This window comes from Homo sapiens, chromosome 4 (genome assembly GCF_000001405.40).
Source record: "Homo sapiens chromosome 4, GRCh38.p14 Primary Assembly".
Taxonomy (NCBI): Eukaryota; Metazoa; Chordata; class Mammalia; order Primates; family Hominidae; genus Homo; species Homo sapiens.
In genome coordinates this window covers 109,047,901-109,065,754 of record NC_000004.12, presented here as the reverse complement: position 1 = coordinate 109,065,754, position 17,854 = coordinate 109,047,901, and the positions used below count along the sequence as shown (strand labels likewise).

At 35.5% G+C, this 17,854-nt stretch overlaps 1 protein-coding gene across 10 annotated transcripts in view; it reads left to right on the top strand.

Annotated features, from left to right (window-relative positions):
• COL25A1 (collagen type XXV alpha 1 chain) overlaps positions 1 to 17,854 on the top strand; it is a 493,934-nt gene that overhangs the window by 236,904 nt on the left and 239,176 nt on the right. For all 10 annotated transcript variants that reach the window (NR_045756.3, XM_011532335.3, XM_011532334.3 and 7 more), the window contains 2 exons: positions 15,576 to 15,620; positions 17,580 to 17,587. Coding sequence is in view for 9 of the 10 variants with exons in the window: in XM_011532335.3 (XP_011530637.1) it covers positions 15,576 to 15,620; positions 17,580 to 17,587 (53 nt within the window). In the remaining variant the exon portion in view is untranslated. The remainder of the gene's footprint in view (positions 1 to 15,575; positions 15,621 to 17,579; positions 17,588 to 17,854) is intronic.

Here is a 17,854-nt window from a genome sequence, read left to right as displayed (position 1 = left end):
TTAGACTGGCATAGTCTTTAAATAAAAATAGAGTTGTTCAATAGGTTCTCTTTGCAAGACTTCCTCTAAATTAATATTAGATATTTTTGGTTGTTTCATCCAATGGAATAAAAGTAAGGGATAGTATTAAGGGAGAAAAAATTTATTTCTTAAACACACGTGCATGCACCTGCACACACACACACACACACACACACACACACACACACGCGCGCGCGCGCGTGCTGCACCAAAAAGGTATTTGCAAGCCATTTGGTGTTGCTTGGATTACTACATCAACATTTTCTAGTGCAATAAATACAACATGTTTCTGTCAGGTAACTATAGAAAACAGTTCCCTACATTCTTCTGGAATGTAGAACTGATCTGGCCAGATTATAATTGACATGGCTGGACAAGGACTGGCTATTGATTTATCACAACTTGTGATGCAACTGAATGGGAGTGTTCCTACTTCTAAACAGTCCTCCCTCTCCCTCACAAGAAAGACGGAGTGTGTAGCCAGATCAAACAACTGTGCTTCATGATTGCGTGTACTTGGGCAGAATGATTAGGACTCCAGAGGGATTTGTGTGCCTGCATCATGCCCTGAGCACTTCCCCTCCTCAATCCCTTTGGAATTTCTCAGCTGTAGCCATCAGTCCAGTCCGAGGGGCTAGATGAGCCCAAAAGGAGCAGAGCACATTGCTCTCATTCATTATGACTCCCGAGTTCTTGTCACAGTTCTGGAAAGCCAATAAGAATTCTGTGGGCTGACTGCCCTCCTTACTGGTGCATTGGATACACCATGTTCTACTTCTACCCTGTACCTCCTCAAGGAGGTGCTTCCTGTGATCCTCACATAATGATCTGCATGTCTGTTGGATGTGAAATCAATTGACTTGGCTGGCTTTCTTGTATTTACTTTGATGGACCTAGGGTTAGGGCTTTTGTAGGTACTAGAGACCAGATGTGGTCATTTAGTTAGAAAGAAAAAATGATTTTCTTTTGCTTCTCATGGAATCATATTGTTGGAAGGAAACATGGAGCTCCAGTACAGTCCTTTCATGTTATAGATAAGAAGTCTAATATTCTGTAGAACTTAATGACAATGCATGGGAGGTCTCTGGCTCTCTAGTCACTGTTCCTGCTGTCTTCTTAGTTCAGGAATGATTCAAATCAATATTCAACTGATGAAAATTCTGAATTAAATCACTGTATTTGAGTGAAAATATTGGAATGGATTTCACAGATTTTAAGGGAATCGATAGAAAGATACAAACAACCTTAGTAGGTTTGGCCTCCATTTGATGATTTGTTGGTAAGGATTCTGTAATATTAACATCAACTTATTATCCATTTACTTGTAGAACTTTGTAATTATGTCTACAAAACTAAACTTGCATACTATGGATGCCCAAATACAAGAACAAATGTTTTCCAAGTTTTGGGACAAATCTTCAATTGTAAAGGTCTGTGCATATCGTGTTAAAAGAAGAAAGGCAGACTCCACAGAGGATCTAATTCATATAAATATGCCAATATTCTGAAACTGTTTCCAAGGTCCAAGGTTGACATCTGACTATCACGTTAATGGCAGAGGGATCTTTTGTTTAATCTATCCAATATATGTAAATAGTACCACCGATTTTCTATTCTATAAGGCTCAAATCCTTGGTGACCGTCTTTGACTTTCAACCTGTTGTATTCACCTCCTAAATCCAATTAAGCCTCCAACTTTGACTCTGTTTGTCAAGTATTACTTTCGGTATCTATTTTTTGTCCCCATTTGTCACTAGTCCCTTTATCACTGTGCCTTAGGTTCCGTAAGAGACTCATAATTGGCTTCCCTAATTCCTGCCAGGTTAGTCCTCACAAAACACCACTTTCTTCATGCCATTATCTTACTACTCTATCTATATTTGATTCCTGTTACTTATTGGAGAATTTCTTAACTTTTTCTCCTGCCATTTGAGGACTTTAATAATCTGGACGGGGCTTACTTATCCAGTCTTATTTCAAACAAAAATTCCGGTGAATGTAGTCTCATGGTAAGCTGCAGTGCATGTGGCTAGCTGTGTTTATGCTGTATTATTATTATTAGAGACAAGGTCCCACTGTTTTGCCCAGGCTGGTCTTGAACTGGGTTGCAGTGATCCTCCTGCCTCTGCTTCCCAAGGTGCTGGGATTGCAGATGTGAACCACTGCACTGGGGCTGTACCTCATTTTTTTATCCTTCCTTACCCTCTTTTATCCACTTTTTTTTTTTTTTTGAGTTGGAGTCTTGCTCTGTTGCCCAGGCTGGAGTGCAGTGGTGTGATCTTGGCTTACTGCAACTTCTGCCTTCCGGGTTCAAGCGATTCTCCTGCCTCAGCCTCCTGAGTAGCTGAGATTACAGGCACGTGCTACCAAGCCCAGCTAATTTTTGTATTTTTAGTAGAGACGGGGTTTTATCATGTTGGTCAGGCTGGTCTCAAACTCCTGACCTCAGGTGATCCACATGCCTTGGCCTCCCAAAGTGCTGGGATTATAGGCATGAGCACCCAGCCTTTTATTGACTTTTTAAAGTTAAGTTAAAATTTCACTTTTCTGACAACCTTTTCTCAACACTTTTCTCTGAGCAACTGTGGCATAATCAGTGCCATTTGCAGTGTAACACTGTATTATGTATTGGCTAACATTGTTCTTTATTTTTATTTTGTTTTTGTTTTAGGCCTTGCATCTCTCACAAATTCATGAGGCCTTTTCAGAAGGAAACCAAACATACACATAAAGTGTTGATGGCATAGGCACTCATGGCTATTCTTTGACTTAAAATATTTTAATAGTCAAGAACTGTTTTAGTTATGTCCATTTTTATCTCAGCATAAAATATTCAGAGAACAATCAAATTCAATCAGGTGTCTTGGGGATTTATGTTATTTATAGTAATCCATTTTCATGTTCTGTATTAACAACTAACTTCAAAGCTTACCAGTAGAATTTAAGAATTTCTTAATAATGATTGTCTAATGAGGAGGCTGAATATGAGGAATGATTAAACCTGATTAAGTCATATTCATAAATATGCATGTGGATGGAATATAGGTTGTACCAAAGTGGATTAAGATCCTAATTTCCTCATTTTTGTTCTTAAATATGGATATGAGAATCACTATTAATGAAAATGTATTCTATTGAATATATTTTACACAAAGCTTTGTGTACAGAATTTATTTTACTTATACAACTGTCTTATTCAATACATCTTTTGTGTCATTTTACTAAGGAGCATAAAATAGACTTCATAGAATCCATTCTATTTCTGATTATTACAATTCTTCTATATTTACTACAGTTAATTTTTTCCTTGAAGGTTTTCCCTCTGTTGTTACTTGATATCATAATAAAATGCCATATTTTAAAACCATCCTATTTTATGAAAAGCCCTTATGATAGTTAAGTTGCAAAATAAAATAACTCAAATTCTACTTTGAAATTACCTTCTCCCTCATAACTTAAAGATGTAACCCTTGAACTTTCACCTCTGATAGTTAGCTCCAGAGCTCTTGGTCTACTTGATCAAGGACCTTTCATAAGTCCTTTAAGTTGATTGGCACTTGTAGTTAGGCCTCTGACACTCGTCCAAACTTCAGCATGCTTTGAAGCTTCCCATCTTCATTAGTACGAAAGATGCCAGATGGAAAGCCAATAAAATTTTGGTGTATGTTTTCTTTATTACTTAAGGGCAAAAGAGTGTGTGTATATCAAGGCTTTTGATAATTTTAAAAATTCTGTGTTAGTTCCTATGCAACATAGAAAAGAAACTCAACCTCAGAAGTTAAAATCATGTCTTGGATTGGCCCGTCTGTAGTTTCATTGGAAAATGCTTACTTGCTGTGTGATAGATATAGCAGCAGTAAAGTGCTAGAATTATTATGAAATCATATGGGGAAACATTTTATTCATAGAAATCTACTCATGATGTTTTTGTATTCTAGGGAATTTGCCTGTCAGTATGAATCTGAGATTTAACTGTAAGGAAATAACTGTGTTTATTCTGAAGGAGGCAATGAAACTCAGTTGGGGAGGCTAGGCGATTGCAAGTGTCTTTTTAAATGGCCAAATGGGATTTGATTTTCTGGTGAAGATCACCTATGTTAGCATTTTCTATGGGAGGCCAACTGTAATCCTAACCTACACTGCATTGTGTTCTCAGTTAGTTTAGCAAGATAATTTGGCATTTTGTAGAGCACTTTTTATATGCATGACATTTCCAAATACATCATAGCACTGAGCAAATTAATTCCTTAAATAGACAAAATAGCAGCTCCTCCTTAAACTATAGTTTGAAGTATGAAATCTATTCCTATTCCTATTTAGGCAACTGGAGTAAAGTTTTAAGAATTTTGTACTTTTACTTAACAACTCTATTAAAATTGAACTGTGTTAACCTGGTAGTGATAGTGAAGAAGGCAGAATTTCTATCACAACAAGAATCAATTCATGGGTATGTTGGAAAAAATACTAGAGGAGAAAAATGAGCCAAATACATGGCAAAGGAGAAAGGATTGTCACTCCTCTATTATGTCTTCTAGAAATTAGATTTAAGTAAGGAGAGCACAAGAGTGATGAAAGACCAAGGATTAGGCAAAAGTGACTCTTTTAGGTAGTATGGAGACTTAGGGTTGGATTTGTTAGATAGGAGAAAACCTTGTGTGTTGGACCAATGTGTAAGTACTTCCTCACTTATGTAGCATGAAAGCTTATTGATCTGGAGAATTGCATGATGAAAATAGGTTAAAATGATTAACCTAGTAGTTTATGCAGATGGATTTGAGAGAGACCAGTAAGCATTTAGAGTTGAAAAGTATGGACCCAAACTATAGCATCAGCATTGGGATTGAAAACAAAGGGACAGTCAAGAGTTGTTTCAAGAAAAAATACTGATGAAACACTAAATTTCACAAGAATGTGAGGGAAGGACTAAAAAATTGCCTTGATATTTTAAGCTCGGGCGAATGAAAAATTGTGTCATGACAGCCCAAATTCTGAAAGCCATGAACTCATTTTGCCAAGAAGGTAATGTTTTTTTGTTTTTTTTTTTTTGAAAATTGAGTCTGAGTTGGTACTGAGCACCCAACGTGTGGAAGGTACCATCTGCGAAGGACTTCCTAGACAAATGAGAGACATTCAGAGATGTGAAAAGTCACTACAATTGGTAACATCTAAAGAATGTTTACTCTGTGCCAGACATGTATGTAAATAGACCAACTGCTAACATGTTCACAAAAATGAAACAGATGCTATGATTTACCTCATCTGCCAGGGTCCATGTCCATTATCATTACGCTATGTGATACTGTTAGGGTCTGACATAGCAAGAGGGCAATGAGGTGGGGGTCAAGGGGGCCATGGAAGAATTGTAAGAAGAGACAGGTCGCTTTGGGAAGCTTGTGAGGGCTGGACTGTAGGCTGAAAAGGATTAGAGGTTGCTCTTTCTTCCCAGATTATCTAATTCATCAAAGTCCCCTAACTAAATATCTCCTAAGTAGCACTTGCCTTTACTGGCACAGATGCTGTGTCTTCACAGCTGCCACGTGCTCAGTACCTCACAGGTAAAATATCTCACTTGACACTTAGAACAAGTCTGAGATGGATATTATCTACATTATAAACGTTCTGAAGCCCTTTATTTAAAGATGAAAACAAGGGTTTCTGAGAGGTTAGTTTGTAGATGAAGACAAGGGTTCTAAGAGGTTAATTTGTCCAAAGTCATGTAGCTAATTTGTTGAAGAGACAGGTTCAAACATAGGTCCTTATGGCTGATTTCAAAAGTTGTACTCTGCCATTTGTTTTGTTTTGTTTTGTTTTTAACTGGCAGAAATACTACAGAAGTGTTACTGTTATTTCAGCCTTTAAAAAAAAAGGTCATCCATTTAACATTTAACTATGTGCCAAGTACTGCGAATACAATAATGAAGAAGACAGGCAATATCCCTCCTTTCTAAAAGATCAATATTTTTCTTATTTCTGTCACTTCAAATACTTATATATAACAGCATGGGTAAAAACTGCTGTGCATGGTATAAGAGCATATTAACTGAGCTTAAACATAAATATGTGTTAATCACATCCCCTTAGACGAGCCATGAGTGTTCTCAGTGTATGAAGAGAGAACAGTGTCTTTTTAACTTTGTAAAATAGAACTTTATTAGCTGTTGGCCAGTGATTTCTTATGATTATTTTTCCTTTAAAATGAAAAGCTAAAAATAAGCCTATAAACAAAGATTTTAAATAAAGGGCTTCAGAAATACTCATGAACATGTTTTTTCTAAGTTGACTTAAATCTCCTATTTTCCTTCAGGCAGTTGTGTGTTTTTGTGTCAGAAAATACACTGACCTATAGTGTGTTTAATAAGTGACCAAATTGTTAGTTTCAGCATTTGTAATCCAAGAGTCAGGCTGTCTGGATATACATCCCTAACCCACCATTTACTACCTATGTGCTGTTGAGCAAATCTTTTAACCTGTCTATATCATCACTTTCCAAAATTGTATTGAGATCACACAACTAGGAAAAATAAGTGAGACCAAGCATGTACAGTGCTTAGCCCAGTGCAAGGTGCGTGATGGCACTCATAAATATTAGTCATCATCATTGTCCCTTGTATTATTTCCTAGTATTTTGTGCTTTTCCCCCACATGATACAGGGGCTCATTAGGTTCTCTGGCTTCCACAAACAGATCTTACTCTATCATTCCTGCACTAATTGTTTTAGTATGCCTGTGCCTTCGTGCTTATTTCACTGGGTCCAGACTTCTGCGTTACCCTCTCTCTCTGAACTACTCCTACTCTTACTCGAATGACTTCGTCTTGCCTTTCTGTTTATTCATTTTCCATCACTCATTTTCAGTGTTAAACCAGTTCTGTATTATTATTCTATGAGTATTTTTACTACTGGGTGGAAATTTTGGCATCATGCTAAATGATTAATTTAGCACCCGCTTAAATATCTGGGCCATTTGCATATGTGTAATGGTGTATGTGGTGCTGCTGTGTTTAATTCATCCATCGGCAATTTGGCAAAAGCTTGTGGTGTCACAAAGCCATTAATAAAAACAAATCCTAGTTTCTATTAGCCCACTTTTTAAATTTTCCATGAAGATTATTTCAATCTCTGATAAATAAGAATTAACATAATTTTATTTATTGAATATTTGAAAAACTATATTCAACTTTTGATCTTATTTTTTTTCTGTTAGTTTAACATTTTTATCTTTAAAAGAGGTGTCTACCACTCTCAGTTCCATTAGAAACATATAATCTGCAAAGCTAATTTAAAATATTTTTCTGCAAGCTTGGAAACTGTTTTTCATGTTAATATATTACGTTGTATAGATAATGGCCACTCTTGTTACATAGCATGTAATCTCACAAAGAATCATATCTTTCCTATTTCCCAACCCCTACTCTCTGACATCTTGCAGCCCCCTTCCCCACAAGTAGAAATAAAAAAAGCTGTCATGATAAATCCCCTGTAGGATCCTGGGGTAAAACATTCTAGTACCATAATAATGAAACACTTTATGTGTGGGAAAAGAATGATAGAAATAACAACTGTGCCACATCAGACCTCATTAAAGTCAATGAACTGCAACATCAGGCTATTTGTAGTCTTGAACAGTTTCTATGGAATATTCTACTATATTTATTATCTAGATATTAAAAACAGCAACAAAGATAACCCCTCATTTTCTGGAATTCCATTTCTGGAAACAAAGCATCTATATAAAGCCCAGAAAACGTTGCACTCAGTTCGGAAATCCATTTCTTTTATTGTTCAAGTGCAGTAGTATTTTCCAGTATGTCCTTGTGAGAGTCTCCAGTTATCTCATGAATGTGATCAGTTTTTTTCTACTTATAAAATTAATAAATAGCAACTAATTATCAGTTAAACTTGACATGCTTCATTTAAACCTGGCACCAGAAAGAACTAAACTTACACTGCGATAACTGGGAAGAAGTTTTAGAAGGTAATTTTGGTTTATTGACCTCTCTCCACAGGAGTAGAAACTCAACCAGTTTAAAAATAACTCTAATGATCACATAATGTTGAGAATTAGATTTACCACAGTTCTGATGTAATTAATTTGTATTTACTTAAAACATCTTAATGGCAATTGTTAAAATTTTCACTTTATTTCAAATTGAGGCCAGGCACAGTGGCTCATGCCTATAATCCCAGCACTTTGGGAGGCAAAGGCCGGCAGGTCACCTGAAGTCAGGAGTTTGAGACCAGCCTGGCCAACATGACAAAACCCCATCTCTACTAAAAATGCAAAAAAAAAAAAAAAAAAAAAAAAAAAAAAAATTAGCTAGGCATGGTGGTCCCAGCTACTCGTGAGGCTAAGGTAGGAGAATCGCTTGGACTCAGGAGGTGAAGGTTGCAGTGAGCTGAGATCACACCACTGCTCTCCAGCCTGGGTGACAGAGTAAGACTCTGTCCCAATAAGTAAATAAATAAAATTGAAAAAATTACAGAAACAAATAAGAGTCCTGCTCTCAGTGCATTTCATGAGAAAGATAACATGCTTTGCCAGGAGGGCATACCTTGCTGCTTAATAACTCTCCTAGGCCAGGGACGATGGCTCACACCTTTAATTCTGACTCTTTGGGAGTCCAAGGCAGGAGGATTGCTTAAGGCCAGGAGTTTGAGACCAGCCTGGGCAACACAGTGAGACCTTGTCTCTACAAAAAATAAAAAACTTAGCTGGTTGTGGTGGTATGTGCCTGTAGCCCAAGCTGTTCAGGAGATTGAGATGGGAGGATCGCTTGAGCCCAGAAGTTTGAGGTTACAGTGAGCTATTATCACCACTGCACTCTAAATAGCGATGTTCGACACCACTTACACTGTCATCAGCCTCGGTGACATAGTAAGACTGTGTCAGACAAAAAACTATCCTAATGAGAAGTATATTCTGGAATAACCAGCCCATTTTCTTCTAAAGCACTGGCTACTACACCAAGGAACATTACATTTTGCATTTAAACCAGTACACACATACATATCCTCTCAGTTGGCTTTAGGTGGTCTAATGTATATACTGATAATGCACCCACGTTTATTAGCCACTTGAAGACAGTTTTTTTTTTTAATCTTTTTGTACCTTCCATGGGCTTTATTGTGTTTTATGTTCATTCAGTGAACATAGTTTCTGCATATTCTTTATGTTTTATAAATTTTATGTGGAATTAGCATAAATCCCTTGGTATAAAAGCTTGAAAATAAGCATATTTGTGAAAGGACTATTCATAAAATTAAATATTTCATATTTTTATTTGATCTAAAAAATATCCTCTAGGAATTTCACAAAACAAATCTAATTACTGACTTTAGGGGAACAGTATATTGTAAATATTCATAACTTTATTAAAATTATGTTGCTCTGATTAGGTTATAAAAATAAAAATTTGGCAACTTAATTTTTGTTGTTTGTAACTAAAATACAGTAAAAATCTTACTAGCAAACAATTTAAATACATGTATTAGTTAAATAATGTGTAAGAAAATAGTCCCTCACACATTTGTTAGTATATCTTTTCTATTGTTAAAAATAAGGGAGAAAGACTTTTCCAAATTTCAGTTGAACTCATTATCTTTAAAATGATTACTGTATATCTGAATAATACTCTGTAGTGAGAGTTATGGAACTTGGCTATTGTAAGCTGAAATTATTTCCTATTATTTATTATGATTAACTTTCGTTTATAAACTGACATTCCACAGAGATTAAAACTTGAGGAAATTTGAAACAAAAATAAACACATAAAAGATATTTAAAACAAACAACCCTGTGTTATGTATAGTGGAGTACATGCTGATTGAGAAAATCTTGAGAAATAAATCTGAATAAAAAAAGTCATTTCTTCTAAAAAATTAATGTATTAGGTTGGTGCAAAAGTAATTGTGATTTTTGCCATAATAGTATGAAATAATGTTGGTGTGCATCAAATAGCTCATAGACAGTGCCCCTTTAAAGTTTTCCGAGTGGTCAGCCTCATGCCTGCTGCTGGAGATACAAGGATGAACAAGAGAATTTCTCCCTTCATGAGCTTACAGTCTAGTGGAAGGCTGTCACAAAGATTAATAATACATCTGTCTAAGTAGCGATGTTCGAAAAATACAAGGTGGGTCATTGATAAAATAAAGTACTTTGGAAAGTTCGCACTGGTTGTGGCTGGTTGTGTCTGTGGAATGTGAATTCAAAACTGACAGGCAGTGCATTGAGCCACAGAACTCTCGGTTTGGAATCAGGAAGCTGGGATCTGCTGTGTGGGACTGTGGGCAGGTTGTTTCGCCTCTGTTGGGCTCAGTTTTACATTTGCAGAAACGTGAATCATTTATAAACTTGTTTTAGTCATGGAGGTTTTACTTAAAATGGTTGCAATTCAGTATGGCAATCTGGAGCTGCTCTGATGGTCCAGGTTCTGAGCAGAGCATGAAAACCTTTGGCTCTTATGACCTCATGGGTCTGTTGTAGTACAGACATTTTATGAGTATGGAGAGAATAAATTTTATTTAGTGTTCTACTTCTACCAGGCATTGCCATTTAAGCCTTTTACTTCTAATTGTGGAATGAAACGCTTTGGTCCATCTTGAAGGAATTTCAGGCATTAAGCAAGCAAACAGGTGGGAGGACTTTGGGGAGAGCTCTGAAATTAATCTGTGCCTGCTTGTAAGGTTAATCCAGAAGACCTGAAGGTAAACCTGGTTTAGTCTCTGAATGTAGCTGGAGGATGGGGGAGGTTGGTTCAGAAAGGATGATCCGCTGTCTCCCTGTGCCCAGACAGGTTCCTCCCTCCCAAGAGCCAGCTGCAGCTGTTGGCGACCTGTTCAGGGATTGTTTGGGGTGGAGGAGCGTCTTGGGTTTGCACACATTTGTCCTCCAGACTTCCCTACCCCAGTGTGCGTCCATCAAGAGGGCTGCTCCATCTGCAAACAGCTTCGTCCTCACTCTGTCCCTCCCAGACCACAAGTTCGGTTTTCTGCCCTTTACTTTGCTGTGACGTCTCCATTTTCTGCCTCCAAAACTCTGAATAAGAGTATTTTTTGGAATATTTTCTACTGTTTGAGGTATTTTATGATTTTTCTTATCTAATGTACTTAAAGTTCCCTATGCTTCTGGGGATGAAACTTCTAAGTTTCAGCTTTTTATTAGAATGTGTCAAAATCTTACTATTTTAGAATTCTTACTATGTTTAAAAAGCTTACTATTCTTATTGATGAATATGACAGTAATATAGCACGGAAATGGTTTATAAGCTTCAACACATGAATGAAAAATGAAGGAAACACTTGTTTAGTATAATGTAATAGCACTTTACAGTTTCATCCTCACAATAATCATACAAATGGGGCGGAGTGAGTATTATTTACCAGATAGCAGATTAAAATCAAAGAGATTAGTTGAAAGTCAGCTCAATTCACACAGTAGTGAAAAATCCATAGGTTTTTAACTCTGTGTTCCATGTTGTCTTTAGTATATTAAATTGCCTCCTTGAATAGTGTAATTATAAGGTGATATTAATCTCTTGCAATCTTGTTCACATATAGTCAACTTTTATCAAATTCTCAAATAGAATCACAATGGACTAAAAAGAAAATATAAAGAAAGTAAAAGTGGGAGCTAATGTTTATTGAACACCTAGTGTGTGTCTGTATATTCATTAATTACCTCCTCCATTCAGTCAGGAATTTATTATCTAATGACCTGTGTCAGTGGTGACCATTAAGCCATTCTCGTAATGAGATAGCCACCTTCTCCCTATTCTCGGGTATTTATGACAACGCACCTAAGCACAATCACCCAGGGCGTGAGCCATCCCTTTGCTTTTTATCCACATGATACCTGCTCTCCAAAAGCAGACCCAGCCAGAAATTTGTGTTGAAATAGAAAACAAGAGGTCAAAACAAAACACCCAGCCAATGATGAATTCTGAAACTTTTCTCTAAATGCTTCCTGTGTGTTTATTGCAAACGTTTATAAAAGGTAAAAATATTTTCAAAGACAAATAACATCCTTGTGAAAAAAATCTCTTCTTGGAGTATCAAGAAAGATTACGTTTAAACTCAACCTTGAAATATTATACTCTTAGGAGTGGAGAAGAGTGAACAGATCTAAGTACTAGGGGTAGAATTGACGGGTTTTGGTAATTCACCTGATGAGCCAGGGAAGGGTATTCCAGCTACTTCCAATAACCACCCACCCTCACGATCATGTGAGGGCCCATGGAGTGGCATATGTTTCCTTCTAGGTACATTTCTAAATTTAGAGAAGAGCCTTTTCAAGTGGATACATCATTAGTGAGGAATAGAGCGTTCAAACAATATTAGTCATGGGCCAAAAGAACTGGCGTGGTTTAGGAGGCTTGCCTTTGTTATTTGATGAACGGGGTCTGTCTGGAGTTGGGTTTATAGTCACTGGTTTTTAAATAATTACCATGATGGCAAATTTTTACTAATTCTATCTCAGGCTGACAGCTTGCATCTATTTTTGAAAGTTAGCAAGAACTCTTTCTGAAGCATGAATAGTACCAATTGTCCTGAATTTTCTAATCCTGAAGAGCAATCTGGTTTTGTCGTCTCTCTCTGTTTTCTGTAATTCATTCTTCATTGAATGAATTTTCTGCTTGTAAGTTTTCACTTCCTCTGTTGCTGATAGCTTCTGTTTTTTCTCTTCCCATTCATTTTCTTGAACCAGTTTCTTTTGCAGAGTCATGTTTTTCTGCTGATAGAATTTACTGAGAATTTCTGTTGTAAAGATCTGGCCAAGTTTAGTGAATGAGAGCCATGTTCCAGCTTCTGTATGTGTTCATACAGCTCATGCCTGGCTGACAATTCATCACTCACTTTGGAATGAAAATGGCCACTATCTTTTGTGACAATTGTTAACATCAGTTTTGTCTGATTTTTCTTTTCTGATTTTCTATCTTCTCACTCTGTTCTGCCAGCTATCCATTGCCAAATTCATCTCATCCATTTCATTTTTATTATTCTTTTTGTCTTTAAATTCAGAAGCAAGATCAAATTATCTTATCTGCACAGTAGACTTCTTCAAACATCAAATTATTCTCTTAGAAGCAAGATCTTTACCTAGGCTTTTCTGAGAGTTTTGTATAATTTATTAGTTCAGCAAGGTCAGTATAATGCTCCCTGCAGTTTTCTGATTCCAATAATAATTATAACCTGCTTTTCTTAAATCCAATATTTTCTTTGTAAATTCATTAGAGTTTAGATTCCATCTTCTCATAACTTAGTTTAAATTCATTTTCTCTGTCAAATATTATGACATGCTTTGTAAAACCCTACCATATTCAATAGATGTCTGTCTTGCCAAGTGCTGTTTGAGTTTGCTTGCATCCTGTTCTTCAATTCTCAGTATGACAAGCAGATTTTCCACAGCATTTGATTCATTTCTTTAAACCTTCTGATTGAATATTTAATCCAGATATGTTCAGAAATATTTATATTTTGGTTTTTGATTTCTTCAAAAGATGTGAGTGCTTCTTTAATCATTTTTTTCATAATCTTCTGTCTGTTAAGTAAAAATTTATTCAAGTTATTTCTTAAACATTTGTGCAATCTATTGTTTTTATTTGATGAAATCCACTGTTGAAAGACACATTCTTCAGGGAGAAAATGGCAAATAAGCTACTTCCCAATAAATAAGTAATAATTAGAGGCCTCTAAGACATGTACAAATCAGGGCTGGGCCTTTCTGGCACCATTGTTGTAGGTGAGACAACGGTCAGTCAAAGTACTTTCCATTATAATTTCCCTCTGGTATTTCCTAACATTTTTTTTTAATCTTTGAATATTCCTAAGTTTCTCCTTCCACATGGTTAGGGTGAATTATTTTTACATGCCACTTGAAATATAAGTTCAATCATAGGACTGCTATATTCAGTTTTGGAAAATTCTCGTCTGTCATCTCTTCCACAATGGCTTCTAATGGTCCTACCATGTGAACCACAGACATTATAAGTATATAGTAGTTGCTAGAGAGTTCTTAGTTTAAGTGATGTTATACTAGAAAAAATATAATTCTTAGTCTTAAGGAAGTTTTATATATCAGATTATGTCTGTGTGTGTGTGTGTGTGTGTGTGTGTGTATGTATGTGTGTTTGAACAGATGTATTAACTTTATATTTTCGTACCTTTTAGGGTTCTCTGGGCTCATTTACTCATTTATATGATTCTTCTCCTGTTCCCAATCTGGCCAAGATACCTTGAATATGATGAAAACATCCCTTTATTCTAGAATATAGAAAGAAATCTGAAATTTCTATTGGCAGTTTTGGACTTTGCTACAAAGCTTATTCTCCTAATATTTTCTATTGGTTTTATTGCTCAATTGTTTCTTAACCTCTTACAAAATACAGACGGTCAGACTTATTCTGTGTAAGGGACTGGAAGGAAACTAACTGCCCCACTGATGTTTTTGTTTCTCATGATAGTGTTTCCATGTGGGAGCCAGTAGCTCAGGATCACATTGAAAGTCGCTTGGATACTAAGGCCTGTGCTGCCTGTGTCTTGAACTTTCTAAAGTTTGGAAGTCATCAGTCCTACTTAGCAGCTCATTCTTTAAAATCAGGCAGTTCTGTATTTTCCTTGGCCTTCTTCTCCTGGCAAATATTGTAAGACCTCAATTCTCATTGTGGGCTAATTATTCTCTTCTATTTGCCTGAACCATAATTCAATGCAAGGCTACTCCTGCCCAAGGAAATGAGGACAGAAATTATATAATTGAGAATAATGGCTTGAAAGCCATGAATGTCTAGAATCTTGTGCGAAGTCTGATACATACTAGCTTGGTGGTCTTTACCGGTAACTTACCAAAAAAAAAAAAACAAGTTTTTTTCTCTGCTTTTAAAATGGGATCATCATAAAGGCTAACTATTTATTGAATGACAATAATGAACTTGCCCTTGTAGAAAAATCAGGCCTATAATTACTACCTAAACACTGTCTTATTAAAAAGGTTGTGATTTTATTCAGGTGGTTGTTGATCGGTGAAATTCCAATATATTCACATTTAATGAAATATAAATATTTGTAAGGATTATTTTCCATTACTAATATATACATTTAACTAACTGCTAACTAAACATTTTCAGAAAATTATGATGGACCTGACTGAAAAGAAACTGTAAATCATTTGGACTTAGTACTTTTAAATTATTAATTAGTACTTTAATTATTCATATACTGAAAAGAAATATTTCTTAGAAATATAAAACTCAACTACCAATTTTCTTAGCAAACCCTTTCTTTATTGATGATATTAAAGCAGGATGAACAAAAATTCCCAATCGTTAGTTTTCTTAAGTAACACTAGATGATCATGTATCTAGAGTAGCTTTTATAATTAAATGAACCTTAAGAGTTTTGCTGAAACACTAAAGACAATACTGACCTTTACAAATATCTGATCCCTTTCTTGAAGTTGGTAGTTAAAAACAATGAGAAAATATATATAAATTATTTACTAGCTATTTTGGAACCAGGAAAAAGAATTAAACTACACTAAAAAAATTATCCTTTGTATTTCAGGCCCTCCAGGGAAACGAGGTAAGAGAGGCCGAAGAGGAGAATCTGGTAAGTCTCTCTTTCAGCTGCTCTGTGTCACTCATGTTCTGGTTAAGTTCCGGCATCTGTTCTTCCTAATTAATGATAATATTGTCTTGTTGGAGGTTATATGTGTGTGTTTAAATCTTTCTCTGCTAGACCTAGTTGTATTTGTTTATTTATTATTTTTTAATCTTCTCCTTATTTCTATTAAACTGTAAAAAGGAGAAGTTTGCAAAGTATTGTTAATTGCAGTTTAGTAACAATTGGTACCCATTTGGGGCTTATTTACTGGGTCAAGTTAAGTCTGTCCTTTCTATGTACAATGGCGTGTTTCTCAGCTGCACACGGTGTGATAGCATCACCCACGTTTCCATCTATATAGGTGGTCAGTCAATGTAGGTCCTTTGCAAAAACATCTGCCTTGGGACACTAGGGCACATGTCTTAGAAAGCTGTGTTGTTATTTTATCCAATTGGCACAATTCTGTCATGCTTTTACTCTTACCGTTTTCAAAATTTGGGAATGTTTTATCCTTCTTGTACAACCATGGAATTTTAGTGATGACAAGAGCCTTAGTAATCAATCTAGAATTTTCATTTTGTAGTTGAGGAAATGGAGGCCCATAGCAGTCAGGTGATTTGGCCAAGGCAAAACTTGAAACAGAACCAATTGTCCTGATTCCTACTTCAGGACATTCTTGCTTTCAGGCCAAATCCCTATATGTAAAACAAATCCCCAATGTAAAACAGAAAAGTCAAGTAAAATTTCTTTTGAAACTGAGATGATCTGTATAAATGAGTTCACTTACTGTTTTTCTTTTTTTGGAAATGACCACATAAAGTCTTATCAGGCCATTAATTCTTACATGCAAGATAAAGTAATTTAAGGTTTGACTCTAGCATGCTGTAAATTGTTATTTTTCAGTATTTTCTCTAAGTATTTTTCAATATTAAAAATAATCAACTACTAAGTATTGAAACAGAAACATTAACCTATCAAGAGCTGATAGCAGATTAATGTGTGGTTTTTTTTCTTGCCTCATTTTCTCTTCCATTTTAAGAAAGATGTAAAAGTAAAAAGCATTTGTGAAAATTTATTAATTTGAGCAGTGTAGTTGCTTATTTTTTTTAAAGAGTATTGTCAAAAGCTACCTTTAAAGCTCATTGAATCTAAATAATTGGAAACTTGTATAGGTATTCCTTCACAAAGTGCAAAGTTTTCTAATAGAGGACACTTTATAAATTTGTTTTGAGGAAAAAGAAATGATAAAACATTAGTGGAATCAGATAATCATAGAAATGATCTTTGATCTTTGTCAAAAGAAAGAGGATTTTGGGGAAAAAGTGAAAAATTTATGCTTATACAAAGTTTCATAGAAAATAAAAGCCAATTTCCAACTTCCTAGCTACTTAGAACTAGTATTTTAATTGAGCATAATGGTGTGTGAAATATTTAAAATTGTCTTAGACTTTGCCTGTTTTGATGGTTTTAAAGAAACTTACATAAACGTGAGGACCTAGTCTTTTGCATATTTACAATAATGATGAATAAAAAATTCTAAGGACAAATAATTGGTACATTTCTCATTTGGCTGTTTTATCAAACTCAAGAAATTATATATCAATTCTCTATAACTGGTCTATCATAAATTACCAAATATTCTCATAATTCATACTTCTCTAAACTTTTATAAATTAGTCTTTACTTAAGATATATGAACATCTCAGTAATTCATAGACAGGCTTCAGGGAATCTAAAAATTACTTGAAATTTTATGTAAAATTTTGTGTGCAATTATAAATTTTTTTGAAATGGTCTCAAAGGCTCCATGGTCTAAAAATGATTAAGAATCAGTGAATTTAAAAAAACTTCCATGTCTATTATGTCATGCTGATGATTATGCTCATATCTTTTGTTTGATTTTAATATTTTGCATATTCACTAACTCCTCTCTCTCTCTTCTCTCTCCACCTGCTCCCCCCATAGGTCCTCCTGTAAGTATGTTTGCTGCACTTTGGCTTGTTTGCATTTATCAGGATTGTGTATGTTAAAACTTTGTTAAAACACCAAAATATAGTCTCTATGTCTATTAGAAAAATGTTACTGACCTTTTAAGAGTATACTTAAAGTGGTCAGTCGCGGTGGCTCACGCCTGTAATCCCAGCACTTTGGGAGGCCGAGGCGGGTGGATCATGAGGTCAGGAGATCGAGACCATCCTGGCTAACACGGTGAAACCCCATCTGTACTAAAAATACAAAAA